This window comes from Homo sapiens, chromosome 7 (genome assembly GCF_000001405.40).
Source record: "Homo sapiens chromosome 7, GRCh38.p14 Primary Assembly".
In the NCBI taxonomy this organism is placed as follows: domain Eukaryota; kingdom Metazoa; phylum Chordata; class Mammalia; order Primates; family Hominidae; genus Homo; species Homo sapiens.
Window position 1 is genome coordinate 106885939 of NC_000007.14, and position 24755 is coordinate 106910693.

The 24755-nt window shown below is 38.5% G+C and overlaps 1 protein-coding gene across 7 annotated transcripts in view; it reads left to right on the forward strand.

Moving 5' to 3' along the window:
* PIK3CG (phosphatidylinositol-4,5-bisphosphate 3-kinase catalytic subunit gamma) overlaps nucleotides 1–23042 on the forward strand; it is a 43699-nt gene extending 20657 nt beyond the window's left edge. For 3 of the 7 annotated variants that reach the window (NM_001282426.2, NM_001282427.2, XM_005250443.4), the window contains exons 10-11: nucleotides 197–354; nucleotides 19171–23042. In NM_001282426.2, the coding sequence (NP_001269355.1) occupies nucleotides 197–354; nucleotides 19171–19449 (437 nt within the window). In that variant the 3' untranslated portion in view covers nucleotides 19450–23042. Of the gene's footprint in view, nucleotides 1–196; nucleotides 355–3294; nucleotides 3631–19170 lie in introns of those variants that run through there. The other 4 variants (XM_011516316.2, XM_047420479.1, XM_017012328.2 and 1 more) reach the window with 3 other exon arrangements.

Genomic DNA, 24755 nt, shown 5'->3' on the forward strand with positions numbered 1-24755 from the left:
AACATACTTGGTTCAAAGAATGTTTTGTGGCTACGACTTTCACACACCTGCTAAGACGAAAAATATCACAAACTGACAAACATTGTAAAAAATGCTTTCAACACAAGATAGCTCATTTTTAGGCAACTCAAAGAAATATTTTAAGGAACAAAGTGCTGTGCCACTGTAATGATGTCAGATACTTTCTTCTCTTAAGGAAACCTATTTCATATTGACTTCGGGCACATTCTTGGGAATTACAAAAGTTTCCTGGGCATTAATAAAGAGAGAGTGCCATTTGTGCTAACCCCTGACTTCCTCTTTGTGATGGGAACTTCTGGAAAGAAGACAAGCCCACACTTCCAGAAATTTCAGGTAAGTCACCTCCTTCATCGCCTGCTGAGAATAGCACCGAAGCAGATGGTTCCTGCAGCACTCCGCAGCCTTCACCTCTCACTCAGCTTGGAGGCCAGTCCAGCCTCTACCCCTACCCTCTTCTGGCATGGCCAACCCTACCTCCTCCCTTTCACTTCCATTCATTCCTTTCCCAGGTGCAAAATGACACTTCTCAGTAATCCTCCCACCTAAAACCAAACAGAAGTAGAAATATTTCATAAGCAGTGGGATGGGCAAATGTGGAACACCAGGATGATGCTGGCACTAAAGAGGGCTTTCAGGAAGGGTGTCTGCTGAGCAGGTTAGCCACTAGATATTTGTCTATTCAAGACCTTAGCTAGAAGACTCAAATTTTACACATATTTTTCAGAACTCACAAAAGGTTGTGAGCTTCTCTTGGTTTTTGCTACAGGTGAATTCTCGATGTGCCAACTGGGCTTATCTCATTTTTATAAGGCAGAATACCCAATATTTCATTTGAAATCTTGTTGGTTTGACCACAAGTTCTACTAAGACCTCTAGCTTTTCCTGCTTACCTGTAAACAAGCTCCTACATGAGTCTGTCCATCTCCCTGAGAGTGTGTAGATCAGGGGAGTCCAATCTTTTGGCTTCCCTGGGCCACATTGGAAGAATTGTCTTGGGCAACACATAAAATACACTAGATAGCTGATGATCTAAAAAAAAAAATCACAAAAAAGCCTCACAGTGTTTTAAGAAAGTTTATGAATTTGTGTTGGGCCACATTAAAAGCCATCCTGGGCTACATTCGGGTTGGATGAGCTTGGCGTAGATTCTACTGGCTTTCCATTCCTTCCTGGTCTGTATCCAGTTTTGACTATCAAATACTTCAAATACCAAAGAGAATTAAATACTGGCAAAATTAATAACTTAATGAACATAATTCATAACAGTTGTAACTACTACTGTAATATACCTATGTTATAGCAATACAAACACAAAACAAAGACAAGGAATAATTACTTTTATGTACATTTGCCTTGGGTGCCCTTTAAATAGCCACCTCCCTTAGTACATCTTAAACATGATTTGCTTTGCATTGCACATCTCAGACTTGCTCTCTTTTCCCTGAGTCTCTTCTTGAGTCCAAGGTTACCCTTGGGAGACGACATGACCCTTGAAGTTCAGTAGAACAGGAAGTAGGATACATTGTTTTGAAACCTGTCTGTTCTTGTTTGTTCTCCTGACTGATTTTCAATTTGGTGATTACAAGACTTACCCTCCCACAGTTCCAGTGGTGTTGTCAGAGAAACTGAGATCTCTGTGGCCAGATGGTCTTGTGATTTTTTAGTGTGTGTTTTTCTGCATAAACTCAATTGAGTTTCAGGCTATTTCCAGGGACTTGACACATTTCAGTCCTGTTTTTCTTTAAAGTTAAAAATCACATGTTTTGACAACTTCCTGGAACAGAGAAATGGTTCCAAAAAAAAAGAAAGCCCTGGAAGAATTTCACCATTTAAAGGGGGGAAAACACTCATGTCTTCTCTCCTGTCAGCGGGGTTCATCTGTTTGTCTGTTTGCTTCGGACAAACAGAGCAGCAATGAACTGCAACTTAAAGATCAGACATACGCAAGGAATTTGGCCTCATTGACGACTCTCCTTTTTTTTTTTTTTTTTTTTTTTTTTGAGACGGAGTCTTCCCTGTCACCCAGGCTAGAGTACAGTGGCATGATCTCAGCTCACTGCAGCCTCCACCTCCCAGGTTCAAGCAATTCTCCTGCCTCAGCCTCCAGAGTAGCTGGGACTACACGTCCGTGCCACCATGCCTGGCTAATTTTTGTATTTTTAGTAGAGACAGGGTTTCACCATGTTGGCCAGGATGGTCTCTATCTCTCGACCTTGTGATCCGCCTGCCTCGGCCTCCCAAAGTGCTAGGATTACAGGCGTGAGCCACTGTGCCCAGCCGACTCTCCTTCTTTTTGTATATATGTTATCTTCCTTTTTGCCAGTAATTTTTCCTAGAATGACTGCACATCTGTCCTGTTGCTGACAACATTCCCATAGACCCCCTGGTGCCCATATCACCCCGTCAGATCTCAGCAGTACTTCTCTTTTTTTGCTGTTGTTGCTATTTTTAAGTTTCAAAATATGCTTTCACAAAAAGGTTTGCAGTATAGGGAGGCCAAGGAGAGGTTTCTTCCCACTATCGGCATCTTCCACCCAAAGCAACAAACCTTTGCGGTGAGGCTTTGTGCAGTCTGTCCTCTCAGTCTGGAGTATTTCTCCATCCTTAGTGACCAAAGTTTGTTTCTCAAGCCATTAAAACCTTTTTTACTAAAGCAACGTTTAGGCAGTGTGCTCCACTAAAAACACACTTTTGTACATTTGTTGTACTTGTGTGTGTCCGTGTTTTGGAGTACTGTTAAACATACGTGTTAAGCATACATGTTAAATGCCTGTGAATCTGTGCACGTTGAGCCTTAAGCACACATACAGCATAACAAGGTGGTTGAAAGGATGGGCTTTGTAGCGGAGAAACTTGAGTTTGAATGCTGGACCTGCGACTTAATAACCACATATATGATTATTATTCATCCTTTCATAACATCAGTTTCTTCATCTGTAAAGTGGGAATAATAAGACCTACTTCCTGTGCTTTTTCTAGGGATTACTTAAATGAAATATTCAGAATGCTTAGCCCAGTGCCTAGATCATAGCAGAAAATCAATAAATGGTAGCCGCCATTGTTGTAGTCATCACAGTGTGTCTTCAAACTTTGAAAACTTTTAAGTTGAGAAACCATTTTTGAAATGAGATCTCAGGTAATATATAAAACAAAGTAGCATGCTCTGCTTACAGAGTAAGTGGGGTTCCAACTCCACTTACACCTGTTCTGCTTCCCCTTCCCCAACCCCTCTCTGCTTACTCTCTCCCTGTGTTCCCTCATCCTTCACAACAGGAAAAAAACCTGAACACCACAGCTTTAACATACATATATGCAGAATTTCCAAAGTTTACAGCATGACAAAGATGGACAGCAGAGTTTTTCATCATTTGACTATGACCTTGTGGTAATTTTTTTTTCTTTTACATACTGCTAAGCCTTCCAAAAAGATTTTCTGTTTCTTGGTTTTATGTTTTCTTTTAGAATTGAAGTTCTTCAAGATCAGGGACCACATCTCTAAATTCTCCAAATAATGTCTCAGAATCTTGTATAATAAAGGCTGCCATTTTTAGGGAAGCTGGGAAATGTTGTATACATTTGCATTTTGAATTAAAGGTGTCCTCATTTCCAGTGAATCACTTATTTTGAATTGATAAGGTTAACTAATACATGCTGCGTATTTGAATAACCTGTTAGGAACAATGGAGAAAAATTGACCCACTTTTTTGTTAAGGGTGGGGTGAGCCTGGTCCACAAAGAAAAACATACCTAACTAGTGGCTTGAGCATGGAAGTAAGAGGAACTGAAATAAGCTCTACTGCATCCCACCTCTCTGCTTCCCAAGGGAGCTACTTTAGCCTAGGACCATAGTCACACTTACTTCTAGAATAGGGGAGAGTTCAGGAACAAGCTATAATTAGATAGAGAAACACAAAACCAAGGCCCAGCGTTTGAACCCAGGAGTATCTATTAGCCATTGGAGCAGCATCCTACAAACAGGTGCTAAACAAACACATTTCAATGGTGACAATTTTGATAAATTCTCCACAGAAAAATCTCCCTTATGGGAGGAATAAAAAAGAAAAGTGTTTTTACTCATTGGTAATTTATTCTAGACCATGTTATTTTAAATTTCACTGAACAGTTATAGAATATATATAATAAACAAATGTATTTATATCATTGGCAAATGAAATTTGGCTTCTAAGTTTTTTAAATGTCAGAATGTGTTTTTTATTGTTCTCGTTGTTTTGTTTTGTTTGAGACGGAGTCTCTCTCTGTTGCCCAGGCTGGAATGCAGTGGTGTGATCTCGGCTCACTGCAACCTCTGCCTCCTGGGTTCACACCACTCTCCTGCCTCAGCCTTCCAAGTAGCTGGGACTACAGGCGCCTGCCACCACATCCAGCTAATTTTTCATATTTTTAGTAGAGACGGGGTTTCACCGTGTTAACCAGGATGGTCTCAATCTCCTGACCTCGTGATCCGGCTGCCTCAGCCTCCCAAAGTGCTGGGACTACAGGCGTGAGCCAGCGTGCCCAGCCCCGAATGTGTTGTTTTTTAAAATTTTAAAACTAGTAAATGTTGTTTATTAAAATCAAGAGCCAGCAAAATATTGAAAATACCAAAAGACATAAAAATTCATTATCCTGCTTTCCAAAGATAATACTGTCAACATGTTAGTTTCTAGAAGATTGTAAATTAATCAGCATTTGCTTAAAAACTGAACTTAAGAAATAGATATGTTCGTCTCTTCAAATTGAGTAAGGCTGATTAACATCCATGAGATGGTAGTTTGTCATTCTGAATAAAATCTAAATATCCAGGCTTGGCCTGCTAGGCCCTGTGTGAGGCTGTCCCTCCAGCCTCATGCCACACTGTTCCCCTCATCTGCTCCCTCATCACTGTGGCCTTCCTCCACATCTTCCCCCATCCCAGCTACCCACTGCTTTCTTCCCAGAATGCTCTGTGCTGCCCTGTGGTCTCAGCATAAATGTCATTCTGCAGAGCAGTTTTCTAAATCAGGTTCCCTCCTGTTACCCTTTGCCACAGTCCCCTGCCAGGTCCTTCATTGCATGTATCACAAAATACATTTATTTGTACTGGTTTTCTGTTTGTCTTTCCCTATCCCAACTGTGAGCTCTGTGCAGCAGGGCCACATGTGTCCTGTGTCCCTCACAAGGGGCTGAGCCACGGTAAGCACTCAGTAGGTGTTTGCTGAGTGGAGTAGTGGAGGGACAGCACCTTGTAGGGGAGGAGCTGGATCAAACTGGATAACCTCTGGGGTGTCTTCCTTCCATATCATACATTGTATTCTGTGAGTTTCACAATAACTCAGGCCCAGATTGACAGACCATCATCACATGGAAGGTAATAAGCCTTCAGGAGGCAGGTTAACATGCGTACATTGGATGAGGAACTAAATCCAACTGTGAAATCTAATGTTTCATTAAATAATACAAATATGTGAGTGTAATATGGTACATATTCACATTTTTGTAGAGATTTCCTTATTGACATAAATCTTACATATTTCTTTCCAGTCAGAGCTGTACCTTTTGCCAAGAGAACAGGGCATGGAGTATATACACATAGTGTACATTCAATACAGGACAGTGGATAAAGGGCAGGAACAACTCGTTCTTTTATAAACAAGCATTTTGGAGATGCTCTGTGCACACAGTAGGCACCAAGCAAATCTGAAGTCATCAGGGGAGCCAAATAACACATCTACAGACAAATCTATGCAAAGCAGGTCGTTTGAGGACTGTCTTTAAAAGGCACTTGCCCCTAGATGTCACTCTTAAGAAGCATTTTATAGGAGAAAAGTCTGGAGCCCATTCGTTGTGTTATTTTAATCTAGGATGACTGTGGAAATTTTCTTGCCAGTTTTATCAGGCCCACCCTGTTTCCAGTTCCGCAGTCTTATCCCCATGCCAGCGTATACCCAAGCCTCCAACCTGGAGGCTCAGCCACATGCCCAGTCTCTATGCAGGGTCCTGACTCAGGAGGTTTTTAAGAACCTTTATTCAACCAGAGTCCATCTCTTCTGTGGTCTAGCTCTACTCTTGGGTCCCACATTGTTTTAACTGCTTCTGTTTCAGTTTCTCCACCAGAGGTCTCTCTGTTTGTTACCCAGCTGCTAGAACTAGGGCCCTAATCCCTCCTGTCATTTTTCTTGCTGGAGACTTGAGTATTCTCCCAAGCCCAGCCACAGGGACCACAGAGACCTTGTAATCTGACATTCTTCCAAGGGCTGCAGCCATCTCAGCATCATTTCCGGTCACTATTCTCTACCTCCCCTTCCTTTGTGTGATAACCCTCATCCTTGTCTATACTTATAACCTGCTAGGCTGGATTTTCTCAGCCTCCTGCTCTAGCCTGTTATAGTTACCAGGCCTTATTCACCATATCCAAAATAGGACACTAATTCAACGCACACTGACTAAATACATACTACAGTTTAGGCACCGTGCCAGGCATAAAGAAGGATCAGGTACTGCCTTTGGCAAGGCAAGATATTTTCCCAGTTTGGCCCCTTTCAAATACAGTTGTTCCCTAATTCATCCTGATTTTAAAGTAGTGAATCTTGTCCAATATTGAACTTGGCTTCTGAACATTAAGCATTCATCCATCTTATATATGCAGATTATCTGTAGTGTATCAGACACTGCATTGGGCATAGGTGAGACAATAGAGCATGGCCCCAGAACATGGCAAGAAAGCTACTTACACAACTTTGTGCCAAGAAATACCTTGTGCTAAGAGTGTCCACAGTGGTTTGCAGAGGGAGCAATTAATCCTGCCCTAGAGGATAGAAAAGGGCTATTCAGAGAAGCATGTGTTTTTCTCAGGCCTTAAGGGATGAATTCAGTTTCATTTTTCCAGGCAGATACAGGGAAGGGAGGGAACATCCAGACAGAAAGAACAGCACGAGCAAGTGCATGAAGTTAGAAAAGTACATACAATCAGTATTTAGGAACAAGAAGTATATTTACCTGGTATGGATAGAAAGTGGTATTTCTGGAAGTGTGTAGTAGAATTTGAGTCAAGAAAGGAAATTTGGGTCCAACTTGAAGCAGTACATAGGCTGGATTAGAGAGGTGGAGGGTAGAGCAAAGCAAAGAAGTCATTTGGAGCTCATTCGATTAATCACAAATAACCATAATTAAGGTCTATTATAGGTCAAGCAGGAGATGACCAGTTCATCTGTCACCCATAATGTACTGAGCTGATAAAGGATTCCGTCTTGGGATCTGCACCCCGACCCACTGACTAGGCCAGGCTCAGGCTCCCCTGTCTCAGTGTGAAGACTTTCAGTACTCACTATCTCTCCATGTTATGCACTGGAAGATATCCTCAAAGAAGGGTCTGATTTCAGCCATTTGTAGGAGTTTGAATATGTTGGTGTGATATCTCCCCCATATGCAGACTTGTGCGGCTTGTCAAACTGTTAGGACTTTATTAAGCTTGTCAAATTTAAATTACTATTCTGGAAAAGATACGAATCCAAAACTGGAAAGATAATAACCTTTTAATTGACATCATTCTCTCAATATTTAGTTTCTTTCAGAACATTTTGTCTAACATAGAATATTGTCAGGGACATTGTTTACCATATTACAAAACATACTCTCTCTATTAAGATCTTCTTGTGAAAATTCTACTGGTCTCAGTTTCTAGAAAAGCTGTGCTTCTCCTAAATAGAGATGTTTTCTTTTAAATTTTCTGAACATTGACTACAGTTAACAGATTATGTCCTTTTAGCTAGAGATATATTTGAAGACTTCCTATAGCAAGTACTGTCATGCATTGCTTAACAGTGGGGATACATACAGAGAAATGCATCATTAGGCAATTTCGTCATTGTGTAAACATCAGAGTGAACTTACACAAACCTAGGTGGTAGTCTTCCACACACCTAGGCTATATGATATAGCCTATTGCTCCCAGGCTCCAAACCTGTACAGCATGTTACTTACTGAATACTGTAGGCAGTTGTGACACAATGTTATGCACTTGTGTATCTAAACACATCTGAACGGAAAAGGAACAGTAAAAATATGGAATTATAATCTTATGAAACAACTATGATAGATGCAGTCCATGGTTGACCAAAACATTGTTATGCAGTACATGACTGTATATAGGACTTGTGATGTACAGTTTTAAATTAGCCTCCTTCCCCAACCCATTGTGGATTGTTTCCTTTCCTTTTTTCAGCCAATTCTAACTAATGCTATTTTGACTTTTGTATCTCCAAATAGTCCACCTTAAATCCTTTTTGGAACAAGGCTGAAGGATAAATCACACACACACACACAGACACACACACACACCCCTACGTGCACGCTATCAGAATATTGACTAAAGTAGAATAGCTTATTGTAGCATTTAGGTTTCTAATGTGCTTCTAGCTAAATATTCGAGAAGATGACAGTACAGCCCTTCTCCTGGTAAACAGAGCTAGTCTGAGAATCACTTTTCAAGTACTTACAGATAAAAATCCTAATTCAAACTCATCAAATGCATGGCCAAGTACCAGACACACTCCTCTTTTGGATTTACCAGAAAGTGTGCTCTCATGCACTGTTAGGTCTAATAATCAGTGACCTTCTCTGTTTTGCCAAAATAATTCCTAAAGACTGGCTAGCCAATGCATTGATTTTTATTAAAAAAACAAAATAACAAAATAAAATTCTCTGCCTTTGACTGGAATGATTTTTATCCATTGTCTCCTTCCTCTAGCAGACAGAGGCAACATTACTATTTAGGAAAAGTAAGTGGAGGTTCCACTTCATTTCTAGATGAAAATGGAGGATTTTGATGTTAAGTATTTCATGTGACCTCAGACAGTCTGTAGCAGCCACAGCTCATCAGTGGTTAATAAATTAGTAGATTGTATATAAAAGTAGTTTGTTTTCAGTTTAGTGAACTGATAGTTGGGGCAGTTAGCAAATCAAGTAAAAGTTTGGGCCCTGAAATGATAATGAATTCCTTTGTTCCCAAGACTTCTAAGGGCAGTAGCTTTGTAAAAACAATTCTTTCTGTTAGTACTAGATGCTATAATTAAGGCATTTGAATCAACAATGAAATTGAGAGCAGATGTACTACGTAGGCTCAATCTATTTATTAGCTACTAATGGAGAATGTTCTAGCTAATGGCATTAATAATAATGTAATGTTCCCCACATTTGTAGTCATTAACAAGTGCATTAAACCAAGTCCTCGAAGTCAGATTTTTCCCTTACTCTTCTTCTCTCAATAATACAAATCCTTCAACAGTCAGTTGAGAAGGAGAGAATGAGGATGTTTGAGGTCAAGGAGAGGCAGCCCTGGCAGAAGGGAAAATTACAGCCAGTAACTTCTGTGTTCTGTGTTTTCCCCTGAGCTCCCCAGGCCACATCCTCATAGTCCCTGAAACCACAGGCCTCTAGGCCAAGGTAGTGTCAGAACACTCCCACAGACCCTGTGGCTGAGTCCAAAAGGCAGAAATGAAACTTCTGGGACTGAGCGGGCAGGGCAGGTGCTCGGCTGTGCCCCCCAGGGTGAGAGAACCACCTGCAGGAAGCCAGTGTTGCTGTATGCTTCCATCCTGCCCACCTCAGTGGGCCAGCACCATGACAGCCTCCCTTTGACACTGGTTGGAGTGAGGCTTATCCCCAACTCCAACCTACCTCACCCCCTAGGCCTTTACTAAGAGACCTTGTGGGCAGATGGTCTAGAGGGACAGTGAGCCCCTTAGCGTTGAACAGTATGTGTATTCAATAATGCAGCTCCTCGTGGTATTGATTAGTAATCATAGCCAACTACTTATGTAGCACTTAAATCTCACCACAACAACATGAAATGGGTATCATTCTTATTATTCTTAATCTATATTTAAAAGAGGTTAAGTGACTTCTCCAGTGATATATAGTTTACCAGTAATAAAGCCAAAATTAGAATTCATTCAGCTTGATGTGAATCTGTGTTGTTAACCACCACAGCACACTGCCTTTCAGCAAAGGCTGATTAAAGCTGCACCAAGTCTCTAAGTGTGTACAGCCCATCAGAATCTCGACACTGTGTTTGACAAGCATGGGACGTGCAGTTAAACTGGGGAAGAAATTTCTTTCTCATAGAAGAGATCCTTGTGTGTGAAAATTAGAACTATCTGAATAAATTAGAATCAACAGAAATTCTTTATGTGAGTGAAATAGCCTTCGAGAAAAGCAGGACAGTTATTTCCTTTAACGCCTCTCCTTGGGTACAGCAGGGATAGGTGAATTCCTGCATCACTGCTTAACAAGTATTTACTGAGCACCAGTGGATTGGTGTTATAATAACTTGGCCTCAGGTTAATTTCCCTCCTTGAAAATGTTCTATTAAAAAGAGTTTGACCACACAGTGGGCTCACACAGCAGGGGATTTATGTGGATCCCCCAGTGTATGGAAGGACAGAAAATAATTAAAAATCAGAATGTACTCTAATTCAAAACCAAAAGGCGTCCCCATCTATGTCCTTGTGAAAATTGTGCAAGTTGGCAAATTAATGAGGCTGTTGCCTGGGGTGAAGTCTGCACTTAGCCTGTATAATTACTAAGAAATGAGAGAGACCTCAGTGGGTCCTACGGATGAGCAAAAGAAAATAATTTCCGGACATAAGTGGAGTCATTAAGAATGCAAGAGCACTAATGCACTGGGGCCACTTCCAGGGGACAAGTGATGGCTGGGCAGCAGCAGCAACAGCCCACACAAGTCTCCCGCTTCTTGGTGAACAGGGAGGAAATGCAGAGGGGATGGTAGGCAAGGGAGAGGACTGACGTTTATTGAGCCTTCACTATGTACCGGCCTCCATGCTGGGCGCTTTATGTATATTGTCTCACTTAGAAAATGCCAGAATATTCCATGGGTTTTGTATTGCTTAGGATGATGTGTACCCTGCCCAGCCTTGACATACAGAATGACACAAGCCTGACCTCAATTATCATTGCAGTTACCCTACCACACACAAATGTCACAGACAATATCAGCTAAAAGCAAAAGAAAACTCACTATTAATATTTTGTCCTATAAATTTATATTCTTTTTTCTATATAAATATTTTGTGTTAATTTACCAAAATGGGATGCATTGTTTTATACCTACCTCTTAAACACTTTTACATGTTTATTAAATATCCTTCTACAGTATCTTTCTAGTAGTTCCAGGACATGCAATTTTAAGTACTTTTTGTGAATCTTTTTTTATCAGTCCCCTATTGTAGGACATTATTAATAGATTGCTTTCAAGTTTCCACAATTTTAAACCATGTTCTAATGAACATCCTTATAGATAAATCACTGCAAAATTATTCAGTATTTTTAAAGATAGATTCCTAGCATGGAAGTTGCTGGGTAAAAGGATATAGATGTTTTTAAAGCCAGGTTTATTGAGGTATGTTTTACATAGAGTAAAAATCACCCTTTCTTTTATTTTTGGCTGGGGGTACATGTGAAAGTTTGTTACATAGGTAAACACATGTCACAGGGGTTTGTTGTACACATCATTTCGTCACCCAGGCATTAAGCCCAGTACCCAATAGTTATCTTTTTTGCTCCTCTCCCTCCTCTCATTCTCTCCCCTCAAGTAGATCCCAGTGTCTGTTGTTTCCTTCCTTGTGTTCATAAGTTCTTATCATTTAGCTCCCACTTATAAGAGAGAACATGCAGTATTTGGATTTCTGTCTCTGCATTAGTTTGCTAAAGATAATAGCCCCCAGCTCCATCCATGTTCCCGCAAAAGACATGATCTCATTCTTTTTTATGGCTGCATAGTATTCCATGGTGTATATGTACCACATTTTCTTTAATCAGCCTATCATTGATGGGCGTTTAGGTTGATTCTGTGTCTTTGCTATTGTGAATAGTGCTGCAGTGAATATTTCTGTACATGCGTTTTTATGGTAGAATGATTTCTATTCCTCTGGGTATATACCCAGTAATGGGATTTCTGGATCAAAATGGTAGTCATGCTTTTAGCTCTTTGAAGAATCGCCACATTGCTTTCCACAATGGTTGAACTAATTTACACTACCACCAACAATGTATAAGTGTTCCTTTTTCTCCACAACCTCGCCAGCATCTGTTACTTTTTGACTTTTTAGTAATAGCCATTCTGAGTGGTGGGAGATGGTATCTCATTGTGCTTTTGATTTGCATTTCTCTAATGATCAATGATGTTAAGCTTTTTTCATATGCTTATTGGCTGCATGTATGTCTTCTTTTGAGAAGTATCTGTTTGAGTCCTTTGCCCACTTCTTAATGGGATTGTTTTTCTCTTGTAAATTTGTTTAAGTTCTTTATAGATGCTGGATATTAGACCTTTGTCAGATGCATAGTTTGTAAATATTTTCTCCCATTCTGTAGGTTGTCTGTTCACTCTCTTGATAATTTATTTTGCTGTGCAGAAGCTCTTAAGTTTAATTAGATCCCACTTGTCAATTTTTCCTTTTGTTGCAGTTGCTTTTGGTGTCTTTGTCATGAAATCTTTGCCCATTCCTACAACCAGCATGGTATTGCCTAGGTTGTCTTCCAGGATTTTTATAGTTTTGGGTTTTACATGTAAGTCTTTAATCCAACTTGAGTTGATGTTTGTATATGGTATAAAGAAGGGGTCCAGCTTCAATCTTCTGCATATGGCTAGCCAGTTATCCCAGCACCATTTGTTAAATAGGGAGTCTTTTCCTTGTTGCTTGTTTTTGACAGCTTTGTCAAAGATTAGACAGTCATAGATGTGTGGCCTTATTTCTGGGCTCTCTGTTTTGCTCCTTTGGTCTCTGTGCCTGTTTTTGTACCATTACCATGCTGTTTTTGTAGCCTTGTAATATAGTTTAAAGTCAGGTAATATGATGCCTCCAGATTTGTTCTTTTTGCTTAGGATTGCCTTGGCTATTTGGGCTCTTTTTTGGTTCTATATGAATTTTAAAATAGTTTTTTCTAGTTCTGTGAAGAATGTCATTTGTAATTTGATAGAAATAGCATTGAATTCCTTTGGGCAGTATAGCCATTTTAATGATATTGACTCTTCCTATCCATGAGCATGGTATGTTTTTCCATTTGTTGGTGTCTTCTCTGATTTCTTAGAGCAGTGTTTTATAATTCTCATTGTAGAGATCTTTCACCTCCCTGGTTGGCTATATCCCTAGGTATTTTATTCTTTTTGTGGCAATTGTGAACGGGATTGCCTTTCTGATTTGGCTCTTGGTTTGGCTGTTGTTGGTGTATAGGAATGCGTGATTTTTTACACTGATTTTGGATCCTACAACTTTGCTGAAGTTGTTTATCAGCTGGAGGAGCTTTTAGGCAGAGACTATGGGGTTTTCTAGATATAAAATCATGTCATCTGCAAACAAAGATAGTTTGACTTCCTTTCTTCCTATTTAGATGTTCTTTATTTCTTCCTCTTGCCTGATTGCTCTGGCCAGGACTTCCAATACTATGTTGAATAGAAGTGGTGAGAGAGGGGTTCCTTGTCTTGTGCCAGTTTTCAAGGGGAATGCTTCCAGCTTTTGCCCATTCAGTATAATGTTGGCTGTGGGTTTGTCATAAATGGCTCTCATTATTTTGAGATATGTTCCTTCAATACCTAGTTTATTGAGAGTTTTTAACATGAAAGGGTGTTGAATTTTATCGAAAGGCTTTTCTGTGTCTATGGAGATAATCATGTGGTTTTTGTCTTTAGTTCTTTGTATGTGAGAATCACATTTATTGATTTGCGTATGTTGAACCAACCTTACATCCTGGGGATGAAACCTACTTGATCATGGTGGATTAGCTTTTTGATGTGCTGCTGGATTTGGTTTGCAAGTATTTGAAGATTTTTGTATTGATGTTCACCAAGGATATTGGCCTGAAGTTTTCTTTTTTGTGTGTTTCTGCCAGGTTTTGGTATCAAGATGATGCTGCTCTCATAGAACGAGTTGGGGAGGAGTCCCTCCTCAATTTTTTAGAATAGCTTATATAGGAAGGGTACCAGCTCTTCTTTGTACATCTGGTAGAATTCAGCTGTGAATTGATCAGGTCTTGGGCTTTTTTTTGGTTGGTAGGCTATTTATTACTGATTCAATTTTGGAGCTCATTATTGGTCTGTTCAGGGAATCAGTTTCTTCCTGGCTCAGTCTTGGGAGGGTGTATGTGTCCAGGAATGTATCCATCTCTTCTAGGTTTTCTAGTTTGTGTGCATATTTGTAGTAGTTTCTGATGGTTGTTTTTATTTCTGTGGGGTCAGTAATAACATTCCCTTCTTCATTTTTAATTGTGTTTATTTGGATTATATATATATTTAGGCTACTTTATATATATATTAAGGATAGTTAAGTCTTCTTGTTGAATTGAACCCATTACCATTATGTAATGCCATTCTTTGTCTTTTTTGATCTTTGTTAGTTTGAAATCTGTTTTGTCTTAAATTAGGACAAACCCCTGCTTTTTTTCTGTTTTCTATTTGCTTGGTATATTTTCCTCCATCCCTTTATTTTGAGCCTATGAGTGTCATTACGCATGAGATGGGTCTCTTAAAGACAGCATTACCATTGGGTCTTGCTTTTTTATTCAACTTGCCACTTTGTCTTTTAAGTGGGGCATTTTGCCCATTTACATTCAAGGTCAGTATTGATATGTATGGATTTGATCCTGTCATTGTGCTATTAGCCGGTTACTATGTTAGCTTGTTTGTGTGGTTGCTTTACAGTGACACTGGTCTGTGTGTTTAAGTGTGGTTTTGTATTAGCTGATAGCAGTCTTTCCTTTCTATATTTAGTGTTCCTTTCAAGGTCTCTTGTAAGGCAGGTCTGGTGGGAATGAATTCCCTCAACATTTGCTTATCTGAAAAGGATCTTAAGTCTCCTTCACTTAGGAAGCTTAGTTTGTCTGGATATGAAATTCTTGGTTGAAGATTTTTTTCTTTAAGAATGTTGAATATAGGCCCCAAATCTCTTCTGGCTTGTAGGGTTTCAGTGGAGAGGTCCGCTGTTAGCCTGATGGGGTTCCCTTGTAGGTTACCTGCCCTTTCTCTCTAGCTACCTTTAACATTCTTTCCTTCATTTCGACCTTGGAAAATCTGATGATTATGTATCTTGGGGATGATCTTCTTGTGTAGAATCTTGCAGTTCTCTGTATTTCCTGAATTTGACTGTCAGCTTCTTTAGCAAGCTTGGGAAAGTTTTCATGGATGATGTCCTGAAATGTGTTTCCAAGTTGTTTGCTTTATCCTCCTCCCTTTCAGGGATGCCAGTGATTCGTAGATTTGGCCTTTTTACATAATCCCATACTTCTCAGTGGTTTTTTTTTTCATTTCTTTTTTTTCTTTTTTCTTTATTTTTGTCTGACTGTCTTATTTCAGAGAACCAGTCTTCAAGTTCTGAGATTCTTTTCTCAGCTTGGCTTATTCTGCTATTAATACTTGTGATTAAATTGTGAAATTCTTATATTGTGTTATTCAGCTCTGTCAGACCCATTAGGTTCATTTTTATACCAGCTATTTCATTCTTCAGTTCCTGCATCACTTTATTGTGATTCTTATTTTCCTTGGATTGGGTTTTGCCATCCTCCTGAATCTCAATGATCTTTGTTCCTGTCCATATTCTGAATTCTGTGTCTGTCATTCCAGCCAGTTCAGCCTGGTTAAGAACTCTTGTTGGAGAACTGGTGTGGTTGTTTGGAGGACATATGACAATTTGGCCATTTGAGTCACGAGAGTTCTTGTGTTGGTCCTTTCTCATCTCTGCATGTGGGTGCTCCTTTAACCAGTTGTAGATTGAGAACAGTCAACAGAATTCTTTTCTGGATGTTTTCACCAGGCCAAGGCTTTGTGCAGGGTCTTTATTTGAAGCTGACTTCTTGTCCCTGGTTTCAGAGGGAGGTATGTTAGTGAGGTATTTTTGGTGTTGAAGCTTTGGGGTATGATCCAGCAGGTGGCACTTAGGCTTATTGGTCGGTTGGTAGACTCTTGCTTGGTTGTGTGGCTCCCCCATGTTAACTCCCAGTTGCAGCCATGTTCTCTCTCAATGCTCTGAAAGTGTGGGTTTCTCTCCCCCTTGAGTGCTGTCTGTAGATCATGACTTGGCACTCCTCGGATGCCCACTGCAGCTCTTGTGTAATCTCAGTGTTTATGTTCCTTTCCCAACTTGGAGGCAGCAGAGGAAGGGACTTTGGTATTGGTTGTGGCCAAGGGTCATTTGCTTGTCACCTGGGGACTCCACCCCAGAGAGATGCAGGTCAGCAGTGGCTCAGTGCAAGCAGCCCAGGATGGAGAGTCTGTGCTGTGGGCCCAAGCCAGGGGTTTCCTGTCTTGTGTCAAGCAATGCGGGGGGTGTGTGGGATGCACGGGAGACACACTGGCCTCCTCTCCTTGGGTCAGCTGCAGCTTGCTGGAGGTGTAAAATCACCCTTTCTAGGTGTACAGTTCTGTGAATTTTGACAAATGCATCAGTCATGTAACCACCATCACAATTAAGTTATATAACATTTATAAGCACTTTAAAGCTTTTGATGCATGTTAATCAAATTACCTGCTGGTAACATTATATGTATTCCTATCTACCATCAGCTTATAAAATGTGAACATTGGGTATTGTCCTTAAAAGACTAAAAAAAAAAAAGTCCAGTTTTTAGGTAAATTTTCCATCTCATTTTAAGTTACTTTTTTTAATATTAATGAAGTTGCATTTTTTTTGTAGGTTTATCTGTTTTTATGTCTTACAGTGTGAATTTTTGTTATGTTTTTGGCCTGTATTTCTGGCCAATTATCTCTTTCTTATTGATTTTTAAGAACTATTAGGGGGCTGGGGTTGAAAGAGTGATCTGTCATGTCGCAAATACATTTTCTTTTGTCATTAAGCCACTTTTAATATTATGTATAGCTTTTTTTCTCTCAAAAGTTTTAAGTTCCTGTAGTCTCACCATCTTTTCCTCATAGAGTCCACCATGGAAGTCATCTTCATAAAGTCCTTTCCCACTCCATGATTATTTAAATGTTTTCCCTTTTTAAATTTAATTCATCTGGAATTTATTTTTGGTATATCACATGGAGTAGAATTTTATTTTCTCCCCCAAATGATGAGCCACTTGTCCTGGTCCCATTTATCAAATAATAGATCTTTTCCCCACCAATTTGAAAAGCCACCTGTATTATATATCATATTTATATACTTAAGTATGTCTCTGAACTTTCCCTTCTGTTCCACAAAATTCCTTGTCTTTTTGGGAGAAGACTACTTACTGGTTCGCACTGTTTTTAATAATGTAGTTTTATAAAATGGTTTAATATCTGGTTTGGCAAGTACTACTTTTCATTATTATACTTTTTCAAAATGTTCTCTCAGGCCCTAATTATTTCAGATGAACTTTAAACCATATCTGAGTTTAAACACCCAATAAGAATTTGTATTGAAATTTTATGTTTATAGATTAATCTAAGAATAATTTATATCATTATAAGCAGTCTTGTCACTGAGGGATGTTCAAAAACTGACTCATTGCTCTTCAGAGATTAAAGTTTTATAATTTTTTAAGAGTATAAAAATTATAAATTATAAAAATTATAAAAGCATAGGTTCTACATGTTTTATGTGTTCATCCTAGGAATCATGTTATTGTTGTTACCATTGATTTTAGCATCTGTTTTTGCATTTTACTTTCCAACTTGTGGATCCTATTTACAGCATTCTATTTATTAATTTTTATAAAAACCTAGTTTATTAAAAACTACTTACAGTAATATTTGATTTTTTAAAGACAATTAGGTCATTTGTAAATAATAAGTTTTCCTTCACTTTTCTGATTTTATTTTTTTTATTTATTTATTTATTTATTTATTTAGAGACAGAGTCTCACTCTGTTGCCTACTTTGGAGTGCAGTGGAGTGATCTCAGCTCACTGCAACCTCTACCTCCCAGGTTCAAGCAATTCTCTTGCCTCAGCCTCCTGAGTAACTGGGATTACAGACACATGCCACCACACCCAGCTAATTTTTTTGTATTTTTAGTAGAGACGGGGTTTCATCATGTTGGCCAGGCTGGTCTTGAACTCCTAACCTCAAGTGATCCACCCACCTTGGCCTCCCAAAGTGCTAGGATTACAGGTGTGAGCCACCGCACCAGGCCCACTTTTCTGATTTCATACTTCACTTCTTTTTCTGGTATTTCATTATTTAGAATTATTTTTATAATTTCAAATAATTCTTCACATTGTCATATTTTAATGACATATGAAGTAATATATTTTTTAAATCAAAAATAGATGTTAATGCAGTACCTTATGGTGAATTAATCCCTCAGCTTTAGAATAAACCTTATTTGGCTATGGTGTATTAATCTTTTAACATTATGCTCAATATTTATTATTTGAAATATATATATAATCACTAACTTTAGTTTTCTTTAATATACTATCTTTGTCAAGTTATGGTATTAAGGTTGGATTATTCTCATGTTGTAAAATTGAGACTCTTGCATTTTTCTATGCTTTGGAACAATTTAAATGGCATAACCATACCTGTTGCTTAATAAGCAGACTTAGCTCACCTGTATCACCTGCTCCAAAGCTTTTTGGGGGACCATGAGCCATAGCATTTTTTAAAGCCCTCTCTCTCACTCAGTGTTCAGAATTTGTATTAAAATTTCAAAGTTCATTTAACAATTTTGATTATCAGAGTGAAAAGCTAATGCATCTGTTTTCTTAGACTTGAACAGAGTATAAAATAAAGATGAAAACTAAATCTCAAACACATTTCCATCAGTGCTTTGGATTTCATTAGTTCTTGGCAAACATTATTTACACTTACATAAAGTTTATTGATTCCAGTATGATGTTCAAAAGCTGACTCATTGCTCTTCAGAAATTACAGAAATGTCTACCCTCAATCTCTTGGGAAAGAAACTGAATTAAAAAGGTAGAGTAAGAAATAAGCTGAAACTTGTCTGTATCAATTAGTTTTCCTTGAGCACTCCCTGGATATATGCAACTACACGGAAGTATTTAAGAGATTATAAAAACAGTTTCTCATCAAGTTTTTCATCTGAGGCAGGGACCTTGATGGTTTCTTCTCATGGACAGGTAACTCTATGTACATTTCAGTACATCCCTGTAATCTTCAGCCTACTTGTTAGTTACCATAACAACAGTAACAGCATTTTCTTCTTCTTTATCCAGGACATCTGTGTTAAGGCTTATCTAGCCCTTCGTCATCACACAAACCTACTGATCATCCTGTTCTCCATGATGCTGATGACAGGAATGCCCCAGTTAACAAGCAAAGAAGACATTGAATATATCCGGGATGCCCTCACAGTGGGGAAAAATGAGGAGGATGCTAAAAAGTATTTTCTTGATCAGATCGAAGTTTGCAGAGACAAAGGATGGACTGTGCAGTTTAATTGGTTTCTACATCTTGTTCTTGGCATCAAACAAGGAGAGAAACATTCAGCCTAATACTTTAGGCTAGAATCAAAAACAAGTTAGTGTTCTATGGTTTAAATTAGCATAGCAATCATCGAACTTGGATTTCAAATGCAATAGACATTGTGAAAGCTGGCATTTCAGAAGTATAGCTCTTTTCCTACCTGAACTCTTCCCTGGAGAAAAGATGTTGGCATTGCTGATTGTTTGGTTAAGCAATGTCCAGTGCTAGGATTATTTGCAGGTTTGGTTTTTTCTCATTTGTCTGTGGCATTGGAGAATATTCTCGGTTTAAACAGACTAATGACTTCCTTATTGTCCCTGATATTTTGACTATCTTACTATTGAGTGCTTCTGGAAATTCTTTGGAATAATTGATGACATCTATTTTCATCTGGGTTTAGTCTCAATTTTGGTTATCTTTGTGTTCCTCAAGCTCTTTAAAGAAAAAGATGTAATCGTTGTAACCTTTGTCTCATTCCTTAAATGATGCTTCCAAACATCTCCTTAGTGTCTGCAGGTGTTAGTGGTGTGCTAAAAGCAAGGAAAGCGAGTTAGTCTTTTCAGTGTCTTTTGCAATTCAATTCTTTTGTCATGTATAACTGAGACACACAAACACAGCAGGAGAAATCTAAACCGTTGTGCCTTGACCTTCCTCTGCTGGTCTTGTTCCAGGGTTATGAATATGAAAAAATAGAGATGAGACTTTTTGTGTCAACTCTGTCCACAAGAGTGAGTTATCTAGTATGATTAGTATAGCTTTCTCCAGCATGGCAGCAGGAAGTAACTACAGGGCCTCTTTTATGCCTGACATTTCTTCCCTTCCTTTTTCCCTGCCTCCCTTTTTCATCAATTGCGATGCTCCCACAACTCTTTACAGACTTGTGAAATCTTCAAGAACACCTTTACTCTATAACTCAAAAATTAGTTGAAAAATAATTACTTCTCAAGGATTATTAGAATCTTAGGTACTTATTTGTAAAGATGTTTAGTGACTTTTTTTTCAAGTATCTTATTAAAGGAGGCATTCTAGAAAATATGAATTAGTTTCCAAATGCCTTAATTTTAAACTTTGGCCTGAACAGTTTTTTCTTTTTCTTAATGGAAGAAGATATTTAATATCTTAAAAATATTCCAAGTTAGGAAGAACACTACTTGCCTTATCCATTTCCCATTTAAAGGACTTTTAAACTTTGACACATCCTTCAGATTTCCTGAAAATAATTGAAATATCTTACTTTAAAAATATTTTCATCTCTGAAATATCTCGTTATTTATTGGAGGTATTGTTTAACCTTAGAGAGACCATTAAATTATTTATAAAATATTTTGTAATTACCTGTAGCTAATACATTACATAGAAAAAAACTATGTTAACAGTGTCTCTGTTTAAGTATAATCAGATATAAATATATACTTAATTTTTTAATTTTAAAAATAGATACCTGTTTGACTTTGAGGTAGTCCAGACCTTTTCTTTTTTTTTTTTTTTTTAATGTGTGCAAAAGCCCAAAGGTTCCTAAGCCTGGCTGCAAAGAAGAATCAACAGGGACACTTTTTAAAAACACTCTTATCAGCCTGGGCAACACAGTGAGACTCCATCTCTTAAAAAAAAAATTAGCTGGGTATAGTGGTATGTGCCTGTAGTCCCAGGTACTCAGGAGGCTGAGGCAGGAGGATTGCCTGAGCCCAGGAGGTGGAAACTGCAGAGAGTCATGATCATGTCCTTACACTCCAGCCTGGATAACAGAGCGAGACCCTGTCTCAAAAAAATAAAATAAAAAATAAAAACACCCTTGCCTGCGCTCCATTCCCAGGTTATAATTTAATTACTGTGGGATGAGACCCAGACATCAATATTTTTCTAGATTCTTCAGGTGATTCTAATTCACAGCCAGAGTTGGAAGCCCTGCGTGGCCTTTGAAGGTCTAGATGATTCTTCTTCCTTGCCCTTTGAGCTTTTCCCCATCTCACAGGTATCTAGAAAAAAACTCCTCTTCTTTGGCAACCTGTCCTTTTAAAATCACACTCTACCCACCTGTACAGAAGACCATGCCCTATAATGAAATGTTTATTCCTATCTATAAATGGAGGATAAACATTTTGTGGCACTTCTGGACCAACTATTCCCTACTATTCTTTTGAAGAAAGGCAGGAAGAGTACTTTCTAATTCAGAAGAGGATGTTTTCACTATTCTGATAAACAATAGCCAAGTTCAGACCTTGTACAGATTCTTTTTATTTGAATTGCTGAAATAATTTATTGATGATGAAAAAAAGATTAGAGAGGAATACATTTATATTTAGCTTATTGGCACATGTGCATACATATTTCCTCTTCAAATGAACCAGTTCTTTCATTTCATTATGCTAATATATATATATAACATATATATGCTAATATATATATAACATATATATGCTAATATATATATATCACACATATATATCACAGTTTTATATATATATATGTATGTGTGTGTGTATATATATATATATATATCACAGTTGGGCTTGATTCTTCCGTATTCCAAAGAGCATAATTTCAGTTCTATAGACTTATAGATAAATAAAAATCATCTTTGTGGGCTTCCTTCCTTTACTGTTCGCAGTGAATTACATGACGAACAACTTCTATACCTTTGAAAATGTTCTAGAACTAGAATCATCCTGCTACTGGGAACTACCCACAGCTCTATCTTCAATGCCAGGTGAAAACACAGATCACAAGTCAGATGAATCAGGCCAAAGCAACTTTTATGTATATCTAGGACTGGCGACATAATTTGCAGAGCCCAGTGAACAGTGAAAATGCAGTCCCATCATTCAAAAATTATTAAGAAATTCGAGATGGCAACAGCAGTTGTCACACCAAGCACAGTGCCCTTCTGAGCATGAGGCTCTGTGTGACTGCATGGGTCCATGAGACCAGCACTGTGTGGGTCTGAATGATGGCTTTGGTGTTCAGTTTAGCACACGCGGTCTACCACGTCTGCATGAGTGGTAAATGTAGTGCCTGGGTCAAAATGTTCCTTCTGTTCAAATCGAAATACCTCATCTCTATGGCTCTATGGCTGTACATTAGGACCTAGAACAGTGGCCCATTGCTCTTAGACTGGAACCATGTCCACTAAAATAAACCTAAGCAGATGTTGTAGACCTAGCCCCACAGGACTGCATTTAGCTGCTTCAGTGACACTTTGATGAAAGTATGGAGAAGTGGAGACATTATAGATAAAATATATCAATTCCCAGAGAAAACTCTTGACTTAAAAACTTAACTGTAGTAAATATATCTTTTTCAGGTGATGAATTATTTTTTTAAAAAAGGTTACATATAGGAATTCTGCAGTATAATTTGGAGGCTATTAGTGCTATATTAATGGAAATTAATTATTTTTTAAGTAAGTCCAAAAAATAATCTAGAAAGTAAGTTTCCAGAGCAAATCTGACCTAGCATTTGGTATGCTAGGCTCTGCTTTTCATGATTTTGAAATAAATCATAATTAGACTTAACAATATGGAGAAAATAAACTTGTATTTTTAAGTGTTCTGTTGGCTTATTTTCTGTTTCATCCAACTCAATAATTCTGATAAATAAATTTGGTTCTAGTTTGGTGCTTGTCTGCATAGTCTCAAAGATTCATTTCAGGACAGCTATCTGGGGAACAAAAAACACACACCTTGGCCAGGCATGGTGGCTCATGCCTGTAATCCCAGCACTTTGGGAGGCCAAGATGGGCGGATCACTTGAGCCCAGGAGTTGTAGACCAGCCTGGGAAACAACATGGTGAAATACTGTACAAAAAATCTCTACAAAAAATACAAAAATTAGCCAGGTGTAGTGGCACATGCCTGTAGTCCTGGGTACTCAGGAGGCTGAAGTGGGAGGATTGCTTGAGCCCAGAGGGTCGACGCTGGAGTGAGGCATGATTATGCCACTACACTCCAGCCTGGGCAACAGAGCAAGACCCTGTCTCAAAAGAAAAAAAATCACTATTGAGGGCCCACCACCTACCAGACACTGCACTAAGTACTGGGGATTCAAATACGGAGCAAGATTGACCTAGTCCCAGTCTTTACCATGTTTATAATATGTTAGCGATAGCTGATACTTCATAATGGGTGCATGTTTGTTGTGGGTTGAACTTTGTCCCCCAAAAAGATATGTTGAAGTCTCAACCCTGGTGCCTGTGAATGTAACCTTATTTGGAAATAGTTTCCAAATAAGGTTATAACAGATATAATCAAGTTAAGGCAAAGTTATGAGAGTGGCCCCAACCCAAGTAACATCCAAGGTGAGTACCATGTGATGGAGGCAGAGATGCATCTACAAGCCAGGGAACAACCTGGGGCAACTAGCAGCTGGAAAAGGCAAGGAAGGATCCGCCCCTAGAAGCCTCCAAGGGCTCATGCCCTGCCAGTGCTTTGATTTTGGACTTCTAGCCTCTGGAAGTAAAAGAATATGTTTCTATTGTTTTAAGCCACCAGTTTGTGGCACTTTGTTATGGATCTCTAGGGAACTAAAATAGTGTCAGTACCCAAAAATTTTGTGGAGGCTTTTATTTTTTAGTAGGGGGATCACAGAGTTTATGTAAATACATCTCTTTTCTGCTGTTAACAAAAAGATTTAATTGCATGCAAAATATGTGAAGGGCTAATATTCTTAATATATAAAAAGGTCTAATAATTCAATAAGTAAAAGATAAATACCTTATCAAAAAATAATTCACAAGAAAAGAAATATGTGTGGCCAATAAACATATGACAGCAGACCCCAAGTCATGATTGATTAAACAAATGCAAATTAAAGTAAGTTTATTTTCCCTATCAGCTTAGTAAAGACTGGTAAAGTCCAGAGTGAGTACTAATTTTAGAGAAAGGGCACTCTATCAAACTGTTGAAAGCAGTGCAAGTTGGGAAATTCATGCATGGCATTTTGACAAAACATCAAAATCAAGGTATCTATTCTCTGACCCAGCAAGTCCACATTTAAGAATTTATCCTTTAGAAATTATTGCACAAGTGTGGGAAGACTTATGGTCAAAAATAAGTTGTCAACATTCTTTATAATAACCAAATTTCAAAATAGCCTAAAAGTCCTTCAGTAGGAGACTGAAATTACATTGAAATTACATCCATACAGTGGACTCACAATGAAGCCTTTGAAAAGATAAATTAGATCAAAATGTATTGAGATCTATGTAGATATCTATGACATACTGAGGAGTGAAAAAGGTGGTTACAGGACTGTATTATGCTCCGATTATATTTGAGTTAAAATGTAGGCTTATATATGCATGAAAAGGCTGGGAGGATGTATTTACACCACACTGTTA